This window comes from Homo sapiens, chromosome 15 (assembly GCF_000001405.40).
Source record: "Homo sapiens chromosome 15, GRCh38.p14 Primary Assembly".
Taxonomy (NCBI): domain Eukaryota; kingdom Metazoa; phylum Chordata; class Mammalia; order Primates; family Hominidae; genus Homo; species Homo sapiens.
In genome coordinates this window covers 20,848,161-20,865,009 of record NC_000015.10, presented here as the reverse complement: position 1 = coordinate 20,865,009, position 16,849 = coordinate 20,848,161, and the positions used below count along the sequence as shown (strand labels likewise).

The window sequence follows — 16,849 nt, the reverse complement described above, 5'->3', positions numbered from 1 at the left end:
ACCTAGATTTTTATGTCACAAAAATAAGTTCCTGGAGTATAGATTAAAAATTTTAAAGATACAAAAGGAGAAAAGTACCAGAAGAAAACACAAATGCCTATTTATATGTGCAAATATTTATTTATTTTTCTGAGACAGACTCTCACTCCATAGCCCAGGCTGGAGTGCAGTGGTGCAATATCAGCTCACTACAACCTCTGGTTCCTGGTTCAAGTAATTCTTTGCCTCAGCCTACCAAGTAGCTGGGATTACAGGCACCCACCACCATGCCTGGCTAATTTTTTGTGTTCTTAATCAAGACGGGATTTCACCATCTTTGCCAGGCTGGTCTTGAACTCCTGTCCTTGTGATCCACCCACCTCAGCCTCCCAAAGTGCTGAGATTACAGTCATGAGCCACTGAAACCGGCATATATATGCAGATATAATAAAATAAGCTCAATTTAAAATTGGGCAAGGTACTTTTTTGCATGTCTACCAGTGACCTGTGTACATAGGAAAACATAGCATTCCTGCTAAGAGAAGGAATTTAAGTTAGAAGAGGAATGAAAGACTATTTTCTGTTTAAGTTAGAAGAGGAATGAAAGGCCAGCCATGGTGGCTCATGCCTGTAATCCCAGCACTTTGGGAGGCCAAGGCAGGTGGATCACGAGGTCAGGAGTTTGATACTAGCCTGGCCAGCATGGTGAAACCCGTTTCTACTAAAAATACAAAGAATTAGCTGGGCATGGTGGCATGCACCTGTAATCCTAGCTACTCAGGAGGCTGAGGCAGGAGAATTGCTTGAACCAGGGAGACAGAGGTTGCAGTGAGCTGAGATTGCACCACTACACTCCAGCCTGGGTGATGGAGTGAGACTCCATCTCAAAAAAATAAATAAATAAAAATAAATAAATAAATATAAAGGAATGAAATACTGTTTTGTGTCCACAAAGTTTGTGAGGGTGAAGAACAGTGGTACTTATATACCTGCTGAAAGTTTAAGTTGCTGCGACTTTTCAAATAGACACTTTGATGGTAAGAACCACATTTTTAAAATGTGTATGCCTTTTACCCATCTGTTCCATTATACCGAAATATCTATATGAAACAGACACAGCTGTTTTTCTTAGTATTGCTTAAAATAGCCATGTATTGAGAAGAACTCATATAAAGATTTTATGAACAAATTTCAGTGCATCCATAGGATGGAATAATATGTAACCATTGAGGGTGTCAGTAGATACAGAGATATGTCGGCATGCAGAGATGTACTTTGCTGTATCAAGTGAGAAAAAATCAGTTTGTTATACATATACACAAATAGAATCTGCTCTTGTGTTAGCTGGAAATATGTGGAAAATATAATCAAACTTATTTCTGGGGATTTGTAAGTGAAGTTTTTCCCTTTCTCTTATCTGTGATTTCTGCAATGAACATCTGCAAAGTTTTAGTTAAGTTTCATTAGTAATGAAATAATCCTTGGGAAGAGAAGGAATATGCTACTTGCATAGATACAAATAATTTCTTACATTCTATTATTTATTTTTATACCTGTGGATGGCTATCTTCTGTGAACTTTTACCCTCTTCAGAAGTAGAGGGCTTCTGTTTACCTCTTCTGGTAGATTTTATTGTGTATACATCTTATTATATATAGATTGATGTGTAAATAGTATGGATTAATTATTTTAGTTTAGTTATATATTTATGAAAACTAAAATAGCAAATATAAATGATTGTTACTATCGCAAATGTATTGCTCTACTCAACAGGAGTTTTCTTTTAAAAATATTGAACTTCCAACCTATGTTTATCCATTCTTTCAATCCGTTTAGTCATCAAACATAAGCCAGACACCTATTATATGGCAAGCATATTCTGCTATCTCTCAGGATCCTTCCACCTTTGAAAACTTCATGTTTACCTGCTGCGCCTGAGCAAGCTGAGAGAATCAAAATTGGGGCATTAGGACTTAATCTCAATTGAAGCTTTTCCTCCCTCCTTTCAAACAAAAGCACTTCTGAAGGTGGAAAATAGTAAAAGATAACCCTTAACTGCCCTTTTGAAAATGTATAAGACTTGGGTAAACACTGTTTTAGCTGTTTTAAGAACTTAAATGTGGTACATAAACAGCATGGAATACTATGTAGCCACAAAAGAAAGAACAAGAGCCTGTCCTTTGCAGGGACATGGATGGTGTTGAAGGCCATTATCCTTAGCAAACTAACATAGGAAGAGAAAACCAAATACTGCATGGTCTCACTTATAGGTGGGAGCTAAATGAGGAGAACACACAGACACCTAGAGGGAAGCAACACACACTGGGGCCTATCAGAGGGTGGAGGGTGGGAGGAAGGAAAGAAGCAGGAAATAGAACTAACGGGTACTAGGCTTAACACCTGAGTAATGAAATAATCTGTACAGCCAACCCCCTTGGAACACGTTTACCTATGTTAACCAACCTGCACATCCTGCACCTGTATCCCCGAATGTAAAAGTTGAAAAAAGCTCCACAAATAGTTTCATAAATCCATTTTAAAAAGAGAAAATTTATAACAGTCTTAAATCCTAATATGAATGATTGGAAATATCTGATGTACATACGTTGTATAAATCTAAGTATTGAAAAAAATGAGCCCATGCTATTCATTTGAATTTCAAGATTTCTTTGGCTTAAAGTTTTTGAAAACCAAAGTAAGAAATAGATTATTTTAGAAAATTGTTTTTGTTTTCACCTCAGCCCTCTTATTCCATAGTTCTTTTAAGAACTAAAATTTATCTAAATGCTAGTCATCTGACTGGAACTGCCCCAGACCTGTTATATTATAACATATTCTACTTAATGTAAGGCACCAGGGATTGTATGATGCCCCATTATTTTATGTCTCACTAAGAAAATTATTTAAATGCTGCCAATTATAATTATAGTAAATCATGAATTAATAAGTGGTATTTCAGTGTAAGAAATGTTAAAACATGGAGACAATGATCATCTTAGACTCAATAAAATACAGTACAACGCTACCTGTAATCTTTAAAATGTACCTGAAAGTGTAGGTATAATTGTATCGTTTCACTTAATTCAAATGTTGTCTTTAGTGGTATTAGTAAAAATTATAATATCTTACAATTTTTGAGCTGTTATTTGTGTTAGGAACTATTCTATATTTTGTGTAGAGTCTTATTTAAGCATTACAGTGGTTTCCTCTGAGAAACTGACTATTTTCATTCCCATTTTATTGATGAGGAAATTGAGACACAAAAAGGCTAAGCAACAGCTAGGAAGCGACAGAGCTTCAAGTAGGATTCCAGCCCAAGTTGAATGTCATCCAAGAGCTATGCTCTTTCTATTCAAATAGGCTGCTCTTTCATTAATACAGTGACTAATGAGAGGTAATAAGTAGTGTGCTTTCTTCAAAGGAAAATTGAGTTTGTTTTGAAGGCAGAGTAATAGGCTATTCAGTGTTTGCAACTACATGAATCATTAATGTGGCATTAGCTAGTGCACTACAATTTCCTGAAGTCTTCTCACTCTCATAGGACTGCTCTACATTTGGCCTCTGCCAATGGAAATTCAGAAGTAGTACAACTCCTGCTGGACAGACGATGTCAACTTAACGTCCTTGACAACAAAAAAAGGACAGCTCTGATAAAGGTATGCAGTAGTCAACTATATCAGCGTGAGATGGGTTTGATTTCAATAGATAGCATAAAAATGAGTTTTCTCATTTAAATATAACTAGTTGGTGAAAGCTGTGGAATGTTATTTTGAATTCCTAGGACTTATAATTTGTTTTTGGTCTAATACTGACAGGCCGTACAATGCCAGGAAGATGAATGTGTGTTAATGTTGCTGGAACATGGCGCTGATGGAAATATTCAAGATGAGTATGGAAATACCGCTCTACACTATGCTATCTACAATGAAGATAAATTAATGGCCAAAGCACTGCTCTTATATGGTGCTGATATTGAATCAAAAAACAAGGTATAGATCTACCAATTTTATCTTCAAAATACTGAAATGCATTCGTGTTAACATTGACCTGTGTAAGGGCCAGTTTTCCGTATTTGGAAGCTCAAGCATAACCTGAATGAAAATATTTTGAAATGACTTAATTATCTAAGACTTTATTTTAAATATTGTTACTTTTAAAGAAGCATTAGAGGGTACAGTTTTTTTCAGTGCACTTGTGGTTAATGCTTTTTAAAAAAAAAAAACACTGAATTTGTAAAAGGTAATACTTTTTTTTTTTTCAATTTTTCCCTGCCAAGTTTTTTTTTCCCTAACAAATGTAAAATGACAAAATTTGCCCTGGAAATAGGTTTTACATTAAAACTCCAAGAAAACTTAAACATGTTTCAGTGAATAGTAATCCTGCTACTTTGGCAAATTCCTAAAAAAACACTAATAGATATGAGGTGATGTATCTCTCAGTGGCAAGGCTTAAGATATTTCTGATTGCTCATGAGGCAGAATTGGAAAGGGAAAAATGCAGCAATCAGAAATACCAAGGCCAACTTGGAAATTAGGTAATGGGGGAAAAGACCATGAAGAGGTTTTTTTTTGTTTTTGTTTTTGTTTTTGTTTGTGTGTGTGTGTGTGTGTGTGTGTGTGTGTGTGTGTTGTTATTGTTGTTCATTCATTTGTTTCCTTTATATGGTGAGACAGGGTTCTTTTCCATTTTAGAGAATGACAGTTTTCAGTTTGGGAGAGGGAGTTAGTGGGTTGTAAACTGCCTAGAGATCAATTTTAGGAGGCCTCTGAGGAACCAGACTGGCAGTGAATATGTGGTAATGTAGTGGGAAACCCTTGAGTAGAAGGAATAACAAGTAATTAACCAAATTAGTATCCTATTCTGGTAGAAATGGCCAATTAGAGTCTCAACTCTGCTTTCAATTCTAGAATGTCTTGATGGGAAGGTGGGAGATAAGGGGCTTATAAGTAAAAAGATCAGGTTGGATTTTGAGTTTACTAGACCTTGTTCTACTCTTACCGGGGAAAATTTTGTGGTGTTTTCAGCAAATGAGTCTCTCTCCTACTCTTTCCTCTTTTTGGCCAAATCCTCAAATGATAAAGGGAATTGTTTATGTGATGAGAGATGAGACTGAAATAATTGTCTATTGCACTAGCTTCCAGCTAGAGTTGTGCATTCCAGTTACTTCAGGAAAATTTTTAAATAATCTTCAAGTCTAGGTTTTCCCCTGAAGATTTTGATAGAGTAAGTCTAATAAAGCCTGGATATGTATGTTTAAAAATGTTTCCTTGAAGCCAGGCATGGTGGTGCATGGCTGTAGTCCCAGCTGCTAGGGAGGCTGAGGTGGGAGGATTGCCTGAGCTTAGGAGTTCTAGTCTAGCCTGGTCAACATAATGAGACCCTGTCTCTAACAACAACAACAACAAATTTCTCAAAATCCGGATACACTCCTGCTTAACCACTGAATACATAAGTGTAATATGTAAATTCTTATATCTCAGAAACTTCAGATATTTCTAGAAGAGTTGGAGTTGGATATGTGCTAATTCCTTTAAATCTTTCCTTTCCAATAACATTAATCTAAATTTTTGTTTGTTTGTTTTTGAGATGGGGTCTCACTCTGTTCCCCAGGCTGGAGTGCAGTGGTGCGGTCACAGATCACCACAGCCTTGACGTCCCTAAGCTCTGGTGGTCCTCCAATCTGTTTTTGTATTTTTTTTTTTTTAGTAGAGATGAGGTTTTTGCCATGTTTCTCAGGCTGATCTTGAACTCCTGGGCTCAAGTGAATCACCCACCTCAGGCTCCCAAAATGCTAAGATTACAGGTGTGAGCCACCATTCCTGGCCTAGTCTGACTTATCTCTGTCGTTGGGACATTAAAATAAATATTATTGGCACTATCTATCAGCTTACAGAATAATACCTTTTCCTTTCTACCATCAGTTATTCACTGCCATTCAGAAGGTCTTTAGAAATTTGCAGTGAGTAGTCTTCCAATAAGTAGAGGATGGCTCTCTCAGGACTTTGTGTCCCTTTGTTCAATCATTCAAGTGCTTAGGTCAGTAAGTCGTTTTTAAGAGCAGAGTTTTCTCAGAATTGTAGCAAATTCTAAACCTTTTTTGTCAATTGAAGCTATATTGTGGGCTATCCAGTATGTCTCTTAAGTTTGTAGAGCTTTGGCTTAATCAGGATGGCAGGTTTAAACACTCAAAACCATGGAGTTATTAAGAATACAGATAGGAAATCTCTTAGTTTCAGTAATCCTATGAACTGATTATCTATCTAGTTAACAATCTGGAAAAATTAAATACAAATAGATTTTAAATGAATAAATGTTGGAAAAAATTCTTGAAATGGGCAGTGTGAGTATTAATAGCAATATTTATTGCATGTTGGAGCTTGAACTTTGGTAAAACATGTGAAACTAAAGAAATATTTTACATTCAAATTCTTGCTTTATACACAACAATTTTGTCTTAGGATTGGATAATAATAGAGATAAAAGATACAGCCCCTGCCCTCAAGAAGCTTTTTGTTTAAATGAAAAAAAAAATCATCCAAAAGTGCCATGCCAAATGCTCATTTAGAAACAAAGAGTCTTGGAAACAGTAAATGTTTAAAGTGAGTTTTTGAGATGATCAGATTTAATGTGGTGAGGCAGAGAAGGGATGTTTCCAAGGGAAGGAGTGGCATGTGGGAAAGTACAGAAGAGTGAGAAGGAAGCGACCAAATTTTATTTACTTTCTGTGAGTGTAAGTCCATAAGCTTCTAGTTCAGTTGAGAGATACATAATTTTTTGAATTACATATTGTTTTTGTTTTATATTGTTTTACAGTGTGGCCTCACACCACTTTTGCTTGGCGTACATGAACAAAAACAGGAAGTGGTGAAATTTTTAATCAAGAAAAAAGCTAATTTAAATGCACTTGATAGATATGGAAGGTATGGTTATTTCTTTTAATCTGTGTGTTGTTCTAGATTGATAGCAGTCACTCAAGTCATAAATAATAAATTAATAAGATCAAATTATACTTATTGGGACATAGTGATCAGTATCAACACAAATCAGTTAAGTAGAAAAGCAATTATTTGGACTGGGCAACATAAAGAACTGTTTTAGTAGGATTCATCTTCTCTTATTATATTGACTGATGTTATTTGTTGTATGATGTTTTTGGTTACATGATCTTATGTTAGCTAAAGGGATTTCATATTAATTTTATGAAGTTTGAACTTTAACTTTCAGTTTACTTTATGACTCAGTATTGAACTTTTTAACCCTTTCTAGTAGGTTTTAACCTCTGTATCTTATATGCTTTTCCACTAAATATGCTGTATTAAACATAAATAGGAGTTGAAAATCCTTTTGTCTTTTCAATGACTCTGCTTTAAGTTGCTTTCTTTGAAGAATATTAATGTTAGCTTATCCCTACATGACAATTAATTGCTATTCCCACATACTGTGGGTTCAACAGCTTTTTTCCTTTTTTATTTCCAGTGTATTTTGATGTTTTTATTTTTAGTTGGTATGGAGAGAGGGAGTGAAGATAGTTTTAAGTGGATACACTTTTCCTTTAATGAAGGCAAGCTGTAGGTGGGTGATAAAGAGAAAAGAGCTACGCTTTGGATTCACACAAGACTGGGTTTAATTCCTAACTTTCTTACTTGCTACGTGTGTGACATTGGGAACGTGATTTACCACCCAATATGTTGTCATATGTGAAAAGTAGGAGAATATATCCTTCAAAGTTGGCTGTGCATAAGCAAGAAAGGTACATGTGGCATTTAATTCAGTGCATAGCACATGCTTATTGGCATCATTAACTGAAACTCCTGTGACTACTATTCTTACCATTATTATTAATATTACTGCTTTCAGCATGCAGAGAGCTCTTATTTATCTTAGCCCCTAGCTAATTTTCTATTACAGCATATCAGTCTAGGGAAGCTGTGACAAAATCTTCACTTAAATCTTTGTCCACTTCAGATAAGTGGCCCTAGCATTGTTTCTTGCCCATCAAAGGACTTTAAATTAGTAGCTTCTGCTATGCAATACCCCACTGAGATAAGAGGTTTCCTTTTTGTCCCTTCCTTTTAACCTTGGTGGTATTTTACAAAGATGAACTCTTGAGCACCCAAGATGCTTATGTCTTTTAGCGCATGTAAATGTTTGATTCTGCATGGACAGGCAAGATGTCAAATTGGTAAAGTATATCAAATTAGCTTTTAAAATAACTTTATTACAGTTCCTAAAGGAGAAATTATCTCTGTAATTTTAGAACTGCCCTCATACTTGCTGTATGTTGTGGATCAGCAAGTATAGTCAATCTTCTACTTGAGCAAAATGTTGATGTATCTTCTCAAGATCTATCTGGACAGACAGCCAGAGAGTATGCTGTTTCTAGTCATCATCATGTGTAAGTGTTTACATGAAAAGGCTAGTTAATGCTAAATTGAGGTTTAAAATAATTATAACAATTGCATCTTACATATCAGGTGAGATGTCATAGTTTGGTTCAGGTAGTTTTAGAGTGGCAGTGAGTTAGTCCCCTGCATCAGCCAGAAATCAGACAAAAAGCAAGACAAGTTAGAAGTACCAATGGGTGCAGGATTCTTTACCTCAGGACTTTTAAGACCTTTATCCTTAGAGATCCCAATATTGTTCATTTCATCCAAGTATAACACCTATGCATGGCATAAAAAAGAGTATCACATCTTTGATTTTTCTGATTAGTTATTTGGGTCTTGAAATGTCCAGTTTAGCAGAAAGCCTTGTACTGTCTTCTGGGGACTGTCTCCTACATACTCCTTGAATTTTTCAAGAACCAAAGGGGTTCACTAAATCCAAGGAAGACAGTCCCTTTTATCAAGTCAGAAGGAGGAGAGAAAAAAGGACATTCCAATCATTCTGTTGTTTCCATTGTTTCTGTTGCTGCATTGTTGCCACTCAAACTGCTTCTGCTGCCTGGTAATTGTTGACCTTTGACACCAAGGTGCCCTTACTGATTCAGATCCCTCAAGTCTTCATGGGGATTCACACAGTGACTTTGAAGTTACAACATTTTTTAGTTCCCTTACCTATGCTTATATGCTCAGCCATTGTTCCCAAAGCACCAGCACCCTGCTCTGGCCGCTGGGCATCCTGACTTTATCCGCACACAAAGTGAGCAAATTGACCCTTCCTCCTGTATTCAGAACCTAATGTGGAACCCACATCTTAGCTAAGAATTAGCTGAGACCTTCATGGTAAGAGATCCTTTCAGGCCGTTGTTGGTCTTTTCTCTAGCAGATATGAGGTGGGCTTGTTATAAAGGGTCAGAGGGGTTCAAATAATGTGGCAGAAAGAGATCAGTGTTTGTTTCTTCTTCTTTGCTACCAGATCTACACTGTGAGGCACCTTTATATCCTGTGTAGAACCTTAGGCAGTAGAAAGTCCCATATGAGCCTTCCCCAAGCAGTGGCTCCCAGCTGTGGTTGGCCCCTTGAGTGATCTGATTTACATGATAATGAAAATCGTCCAAGCTACTTCCATCTCTAGCTCAAGATTTTAAAATATTTTCAAATTGTACCTCACAGGAAGCCATTGAAGAGAATTCTCAGAATCTCAAGTGGGTTAAGTAAGTAGTGATGAGTCATGGACAAGAGCCAAGCCTTGCCCATGACTCATCACAAATCATGTGTAAAAGTAGGGCTTTGTGCCTGCTTTGGCGGCACATATCCTAAAATTGGAACAATACAGAGAAAGTTAGCACGGCTTCTGCATAAGGAGGCAGCACAACTCTTTGAAGCATTCCATATTTTGTGCAGTCACTGGAAGATCATTTCACTATTTGCTGACTAGCTCTAAGGAAACAGTGTGAATCAAAGCAAAATGGGTGCCACCAAAATATCGAAATGTGATTTGTGCTGCAAAAATAGTCATGGAAGATGGTCTGTGAGATGATTTAGAGCTGAATAATGTGTTCAGTGCAAAATATATTATAAGTATGTACGTCAAAAATTAGAGAATGTCAATTTGCAGCTTCTTCATGAAAACTGAAAAAAAATAAAAGTAGAGTTTTGGTCTCCCATGTCAGCTGGAATTGAACATCAACATAAAGCATTATCTTAACAAACATCTGCTGGCTCAGAGTTTGAGTCTGTAGAGAAGGATCATTGCTCCAAGCCAGGTCTTAACATCCATTGGTTTTTCTGCCCTTAGCACAACAAATTGGTCAACTCCGTAATAGTGGACAATCACATTATCTACTTTAATGAGAGATTTATGAAAAAATTTAGTTACAAACTATGACACAGTTGAGATGCCCTGAATGATAAGCCATAAGGAGTAGGACAACTAAGAAGCAAAATTAGGACTTAATAACATTTTCTGAAAACTACAGCATTTGCATATTAGAACCTATGAACAAAATACACATGGGGTTTTATTTGGGATTCCAAGATAATTTTAGTCATAAAGTTTAGGAACAGATTATTCCATTGCTTTACTATTTCTCTGAGCATTTAAAAAATGTTACCTTGTTAAATCTTTATAACAACCTAGTGAAATAAGGCAGCAAAGTCCTCACTTTGTAGAAGAAGACATTGAGCCTAAGAGAAGAAAGTTGTCCAAGAACAAATAGCTGTTCATTATGGAGCTAGGACTTATGCAGAGTTGGGACACTTTCTATTATGTCATGCTAATGCATGCTGATTTACTGGGTCACAGTGCCCTTGATTTATGAGCATTTCACCTAATTTTTTTTCTTCTTTAATTAGAAGCTTAAAGAAAAGTTTGTAGAATGTACTCGTAAGTGTATGGGATAATACTGTTAAATTCTGATATTATGATATTGTTTGAAATACTCTAAGAATTTTACATTTGGTAAGTATTTTTTATATCAGTATTAAAATAGTAATTTGGTTTATTACATTTTTATACATAGAATTTGTGAATTACTTTCTGACTATAAAGAAAAACAGATGCTAAAAATCTCTTCTGAAAACAGCAATCCAGGTAAGACTTGTGATAATGAATTACTTTAGGTCAGTTGTCCACAATGTTTTTGGCATCAGGGACCGGTTTTGTGGAAGACAGTCTTTCCATGGGCTGGGGGAAGGTGGGGATGGTTTCAGGATTATTCAGCCATGTTTCATTTATTGTGCTACTTTATATTATTATTACATTGTAATATATAATGAAATAATTATACAACTTACCATAATGTAGAATCCGTGGAAACTCTGAGCTTATTTTTCTGCAACTAGATGGTCTCATCTGGGGGCAAAGTGAGACAGTGACAGATCATCAGGCATTAGTTTCTCATATGAAGCACACAACCTAGATCCCTCAGATGAGCAGTTCACAATAGGGTTCATGCTCCAATGAGTATCTAGTGCTATCACTGATCTGACTGGAGGCAGAGTTCAGGCGGTAATATGAGCCATGGGGTGTGGCTGTAAGTACAGGTGAAGCTTCCCTGGTTTGCCTGCTGCTCACCTCCTCCTGTGTGGTGTGGTTCATAATAGTCCATGGACTGGTACCAGTCTGTGACCTGGGAGTTGTGGACCCCTGCTCTGGGTGGTCCTACCATAGATAAAAAAATAAAAGTAAGGAATTTTTGATCACAAAAGAACGCCAAAGCACAAGTCATGTTACATATCCTTGTCCCAACAAGGTCTCACTCTTACTGACTTCATTCCTCCTCATTTGAAGTTGGAAAGAGATACATTTACTTTGTTGGAACAAGATGTGTTCTCTACCTGCTGGTCAATTGTCTTGATAACAGTAATTTTGTTAGAACAAGATGCTCTGCTACCATTTACCAAAAGATTGTCATAATAAATATACAAATTGCCCAACTCTAGGCTCAGCAGATTATAATAAAAGTAGAAAAATGCTTCACATTAACAAAAATACTAGTATGCCACCTGGTTGTGGACACCTAATACATTGTATAATCCAAACTGGATGAGGACACCTTTAATTTAGCCATCTATTTATCAAAAAGCTTCTGTAAGTTAGGTTTTATAAGTTGCAGAAGACAAAGATGGAATAGATGTAGTTTTGATCTTTAAGGTGCTCATAATAGAGGTGTCTCTATTTCATTTCTGTGTTTTTTCAACAGAATTTACAAAGAAAACATTTCTATGTTTTCACTTGTCCACTTAACAAATAACTATCAAATGTCTTTTAGATACTAATCATTTTTCTAATGCTACAGAACACACACAATTAAAAATACAGACAGGAGCTTGTTATTATCATTGTCATTTTTATTATTTTACTACTTTATTCAGTGCTTACTGTGTGCTAGATGCCAACTGGAAGCTTATAATTATGATTTATTATGTATTAATTATGTGCCAGACATACGTGATGAGGAATGAAAGTTTTGAAAAAAAGTAGGTATGATTCAAAGTAAGCATGCAGAGTGAGAAGAATTTTTCTAGGTAAAGAAGCAGAAGAATAATTTTTGGCAGGAGGAAATTGCAACAAGTTTGTGTGTTTGCCAGAAGAACATCTGATGAGATTGCCTGTTTGGCAGGAAGAGCAACAACTGCAAAAGACAAGATGCCGAGTGAACTTTGCAGGGTTTCTGAGCAGTTCACTTTTGCTAGTACCAAAAGTGTGAGACACCAGAGTTTGGGAATGAGGTGAATACTTAGCTAAGGCAAGTTTATGATAGACTTTTTTAATACTATAGAAATGAGTAGGTCTTACCCTGTGGGCCATGGGAAATTTACCAGGTAGAATGCTTTGGACTGTAAATACTAGATGAGCAGTGGCTAAAACAGTAGGAACCAGAGTTGTTTTGGTTGTTCAGTGATATCCTAGGATCCCATTTTTCCCTCTTTCAGCTGTGCTGTTGGCAGTGTTTTCTTCATGTTTCCTTTCGTGGTTGGCTAATCCGCAGCAGCTCCAAACATCTTGTTCTCACAACACAACATTTCAAGGGCTGCTTTTCTTCACATGTGTCTTTTAAACAGGGAGAAAACTTAGAAGCATGCAAGGGGCTTCCTGTAACATTTCATTGGCTGGGTCACACCACATGCTCATTCCCAAACCAGGCAATGGGATGGCAAATACATGATTAGCTTAGAATAAACATTTCTCTTTCTGAGGCTGAGGAGGGGGATTGGGATAATAAATATCCCAATAGACTTGTGTTTCTTCTGCAAGAAAGAATAAGGAATGGCTATTGATAGGAGCCAACAATGTGTGCTGCAGGGGCTCATTGGAGAAATTTGAGCAGGGGAGTTACAAGATTAAATTTGAATATTAAGGCATATTCTGCTTATGGTGTAAAATGGGTTAGCAAGCTTTTTCTGTAAAGGACCAGGTGGGAAATATTTTAGACTATGTGGTCTCTGTCATATCTACTTAACCAGGCTGTTGTCTGTTGTTGTAGTGTGAAAGCCACCATGATTATATGTAAGCAAACAGGCATGACTGAGCTCCTATAAAACTTTATTTACAAAGCCAAAAGGCAGATTGGATTTGTCCTGTGGCCTATAGTTTGCTGGGATTGATGGAAGATAACCATGTAAAGAAACCAGGAGACAAAGGAAGCTTTTGCAGTAGTCAGCTATAGTTTCCATGTCACACATCCTTGGACTACTATCAATGTATTCTAAGGTTTTCACCTGCCCATGGTGAAATAAAGTTTGGAATCCCCGTTACTCATTTTAATGTGTTGGCCTTTTTTTGGTGTTATGCTTTTTTCATTTGTTTTGCTTAATTTTTTTCATGTAAGAAATAACATTAATAGTTGGAAGGCTTTTTTGTAATAAAAGCCATTTTGTAAATGTTTATGTTCTCAGTGGAAGTGGTAATATAAAGCAGAGGCAGAAGAGAGGTATAGTCAATATGATTTAGTGATAATTGAATGAGAAAGGTTTGGAGGACAGAGAGAAATGTCAGATAATTTACAGGTTTCCACGTTGTACACTAGTATTTAAGCTGGGAATGAGGAAGGAGTACGAAATTTTCTCCATGACCTGTGTGAGTCACAGCTTCCAGAAAAGAAAGAGAGCAAGGAGCATATTAAGGAAGCACAGCAAAGTCAGTCCTAGAGTGCCCTGCTTGACTTCATGTCATAGTTCTGACTTCTAAAAAATCATTTTCTGCAAAATGTGCTTTGTGTTTTTCCCCTCTTGCAGCCTGCAGCCAAACAGAATCCCTTTAGCAGGGCATTTTTGTGTTCTTCCTTTAAACAAAGCAACATATAAATAACAAAAAAGAAGTAAGAGAAAGAGTATTTTTTGTATAGGCTAGCATTTAACTTAAACTTGAGAGCGAGTACTAGGATTATACTTAGAATTTATGGACTGGGTAGGAAGACTAGATAGAAATCTAAAGATTGCTGACTCAAACACAGTGTGATTTTTTTGCTTTATTCTCACAGCTCTGAATTCACAACTATTAGTTATATTCATATACACTATAACTTTATAAAGCACCTTCCCAAACAAATATTAAGTGATTTATTATAATTTCTATGACTTATTATAGAATTGACTTTCCAAGTGTTCATGAGAATTATTGGGAATTTGCTACATAGTATCATCTCAGCTGTGTCCACATGAGCTAGCTGTCACCTTGTCTTAATGAATAATGGCTCACTAGGAATATTGGTTTTGGCATTAAAATGATCTACATCTTAATACAGATAGGACCAGGGACCACTCTTGAACGTTAATGTCTAAGCATCTTAAAGGTACACATAAGGCTTTCATAATCTGACTTCTGCCCTATTCTACATCTTTAGCCCTTTTCCCTGTGTGCCCTTTCTCTGGCATTACTGAGTGGCTCTTAATGCCCTACTCACTCCTCCTTCTATTGCAGGCAAATACTTTCACTCTTTCAGGCCTCGCTCCTGCTCTTGCTGCTGTGTGGCATGCTGTCACCCTTTCTTGCCCTCTACCACTTTTAATCTAGCTAGCCTCAATATTTAAGTCTCTGCTTGGGCAGGTGTTCTAGAAAAGCCATCCCTGACAGGCTTTATTTTCATTCTTTTTAAACCCTAACACCTAGCATGTATGTAGCAGGACTCAATAAGAAATTTCTGAGTAAAATAAAGACTGTTTTTACAAAGATGATGTGCAAGACTGTCCTCTGCAGTCTTGGAGCAGAGGGGACAGACATGTGGAGGAATAGTGTACAGTTCAGGTGGTAAAGGTGCAGTAGAAAAATCAGTGAGGTCCTAAGGCAACCTCAAGGAAGGAGTTACCTGTTTATCTGGGGAAAGATCTGCAGAATCAAGGAAGACTTCCCATAGCATTGTTTTAAAAGATGAAAACAAGGCTGGGTGTGGTGGCTCACACCTGTAATTGCAGCATTTTGGGAGGCTGGAGCAGGTGGATCACAAGGTCAAAAGATCAAGACCATCCTGGCCAATGGTGAAACCCCATCTCTACTAAAAATACAAAAATTAGCTGGGCATGATGGTGTGTGCCTGTAATCACAGCTTCTCAGGAGACTGAGACAGGAGAATCATTTGAACCAGGGAGTCAGAGGTTGCAGTGAGCTGAGATTGTGCCACTGCACTCCAGCCTGGTGACAGAGCAAGACCCCAGCTAAAACAAAAAAAAAGAAAAATGAAAATAAATTTGTCATAATAGTGGATGGAAACATTTTAGATGTTAAGAAGACATTGTACACTAATAAAGGTGTCAGTAGTAATTTTGGAAATCGTTTGTAAGGTACTATTTTTGCAGAAAAGAGGAGGCAGGAGAGACCCAGTGGGTCAAACAAGAGGATTTTGTTTAGGTGCACACCAGCTCAGCGGATTTGCATCAAAAAGCTGAGCCCTGAACAAAGACAGGGCTTGGCTTATATAGGCAAACTTATAGAAGCAGAACAAAGGCAGTTAATCATATAGTGACAGTTTTGCAACCACTGCATAGCTTGTGACCTTGCAGCTGCATTGAAGGAAAACAAGAATTTGCAAAATATATGCATTTGTAAAAATAGCTATGAATAAATGCTGAGGGGGAGGGGAGATGGTAAAGGAATTTGTTTTCTTAACCTTGCTCTGGGATGTCTGGAGCCCATACCTGTGGGCTCTGGCTTCTCAGACAGGGTCACCATGACCTTTCCTGGGCCTGCTTGTTACTATCCTTAGAGTCAGACTAGCTAAGTGCAGGAAAACTTGTTTCTCTTTAAAACTAAATTTCCTTTTCTTTACATTTACTGCTTCACTATTAGGAAGTGAACAACATACTGAGTTACCTTATATGTTTCTACTGTATTTTGAAGTTGTGTTTCTGGTGGTTTTGTTCATTTATGTTGGGTGGATGAATTTGTGAGTGAATCACATCAGGTGTCTCCCCAAGTGGTTTGTTGAAGTTTTGGAGAATTATTTCCTAAGTAACTATTTCATGAAAGACTAAACACTCAGTTTATGAAATAAAATAAAATGTTGTCTTCAATCTATTTTTATAAAGGCAATAGTTTTTAACTGTTCTAAGTGGTTCATTTTAACTGAATATATGGATTTCTCAACAGAACAAGACTTAAAGCTGACATCAGAGGAAGAGTCACAAAGGCTTAAAGTCAGTGAAAATAGCCAGCCAGAGGCATGGAAAATTTTAAGTTTAAATTTTTGATTTAACGTTGTTTTCTTTGCTTGAATAATATTAGATAGTCCAAATGAAATTACCTTTCAGACTAGGTTTTAAGAATCAATAGATTCTTTTTTTAAGAATTTTTTAATAGATTCTTAAAATTTATTTTAATAAATTCAGCAATCTCATTAACAGAAGAATTAATAAATTCTAACTTAACATTTGATATTTAGCTTAAAAACGTAACCACTATAAAATTTAAAATACTCTTATTTTATGGTATTCTTATTTAAAATATTCTTATCTGCCTTTTTGATTAGCTTATAGCTAATCTTTCCTTTTGG

At 36.5% G+C, this 16,849-nt stretch overlaps 1 protein-coding gene and 1 pseudogene across 5 annotated transcripts in view; both read left to right on the top strand.

Moving 5' to 3' along the window:
• POTEB2 (POTE ankyrin domain family member B2) overlaps positions 1–16,849 on the top strand; it is a 30,943-nt gene that overhangs the window by 1,305 nt on the left and 12,789 nt on the right. For 2 of the 5 annotated variants that reach the window (XM_006720354.4, XM_017021853.2), the window contains exons 2-6: positions 3,521–3,635; positions 3,795–3,968; positions 6,793–6,899; positions 8,237–8,374; positions 10,883–10,953. In XM_006720354.4, coding sequence (XP_006720417.1) covers positions 3,521–3,635; positions 3,795–3,968; positions 6,793–6,899; positions 8,237–8,374; positions 10,883–10,953 — 605 coding nt within the window. Of the gene's footprint in view, positions 1–3,520; positions 3,636–3,794; positions 3,969–6,792; positions 6,900–8,236; positions 8,375–10,882; positions 10,954–13,348; positions 13,533–16,446; positions 16,518–16,849 lie in introns of those variants that run through there. The other 3 variants (NM_001277303.1, XM_011543793.3, NR_102390.1) reach the window with 3 other exon arrangements.
• RNU6-749P (RNA, U6 small nuclear 749, pseudogene) lies at positions 9,653–9,759 on the top strand (annotated as a pseudogene).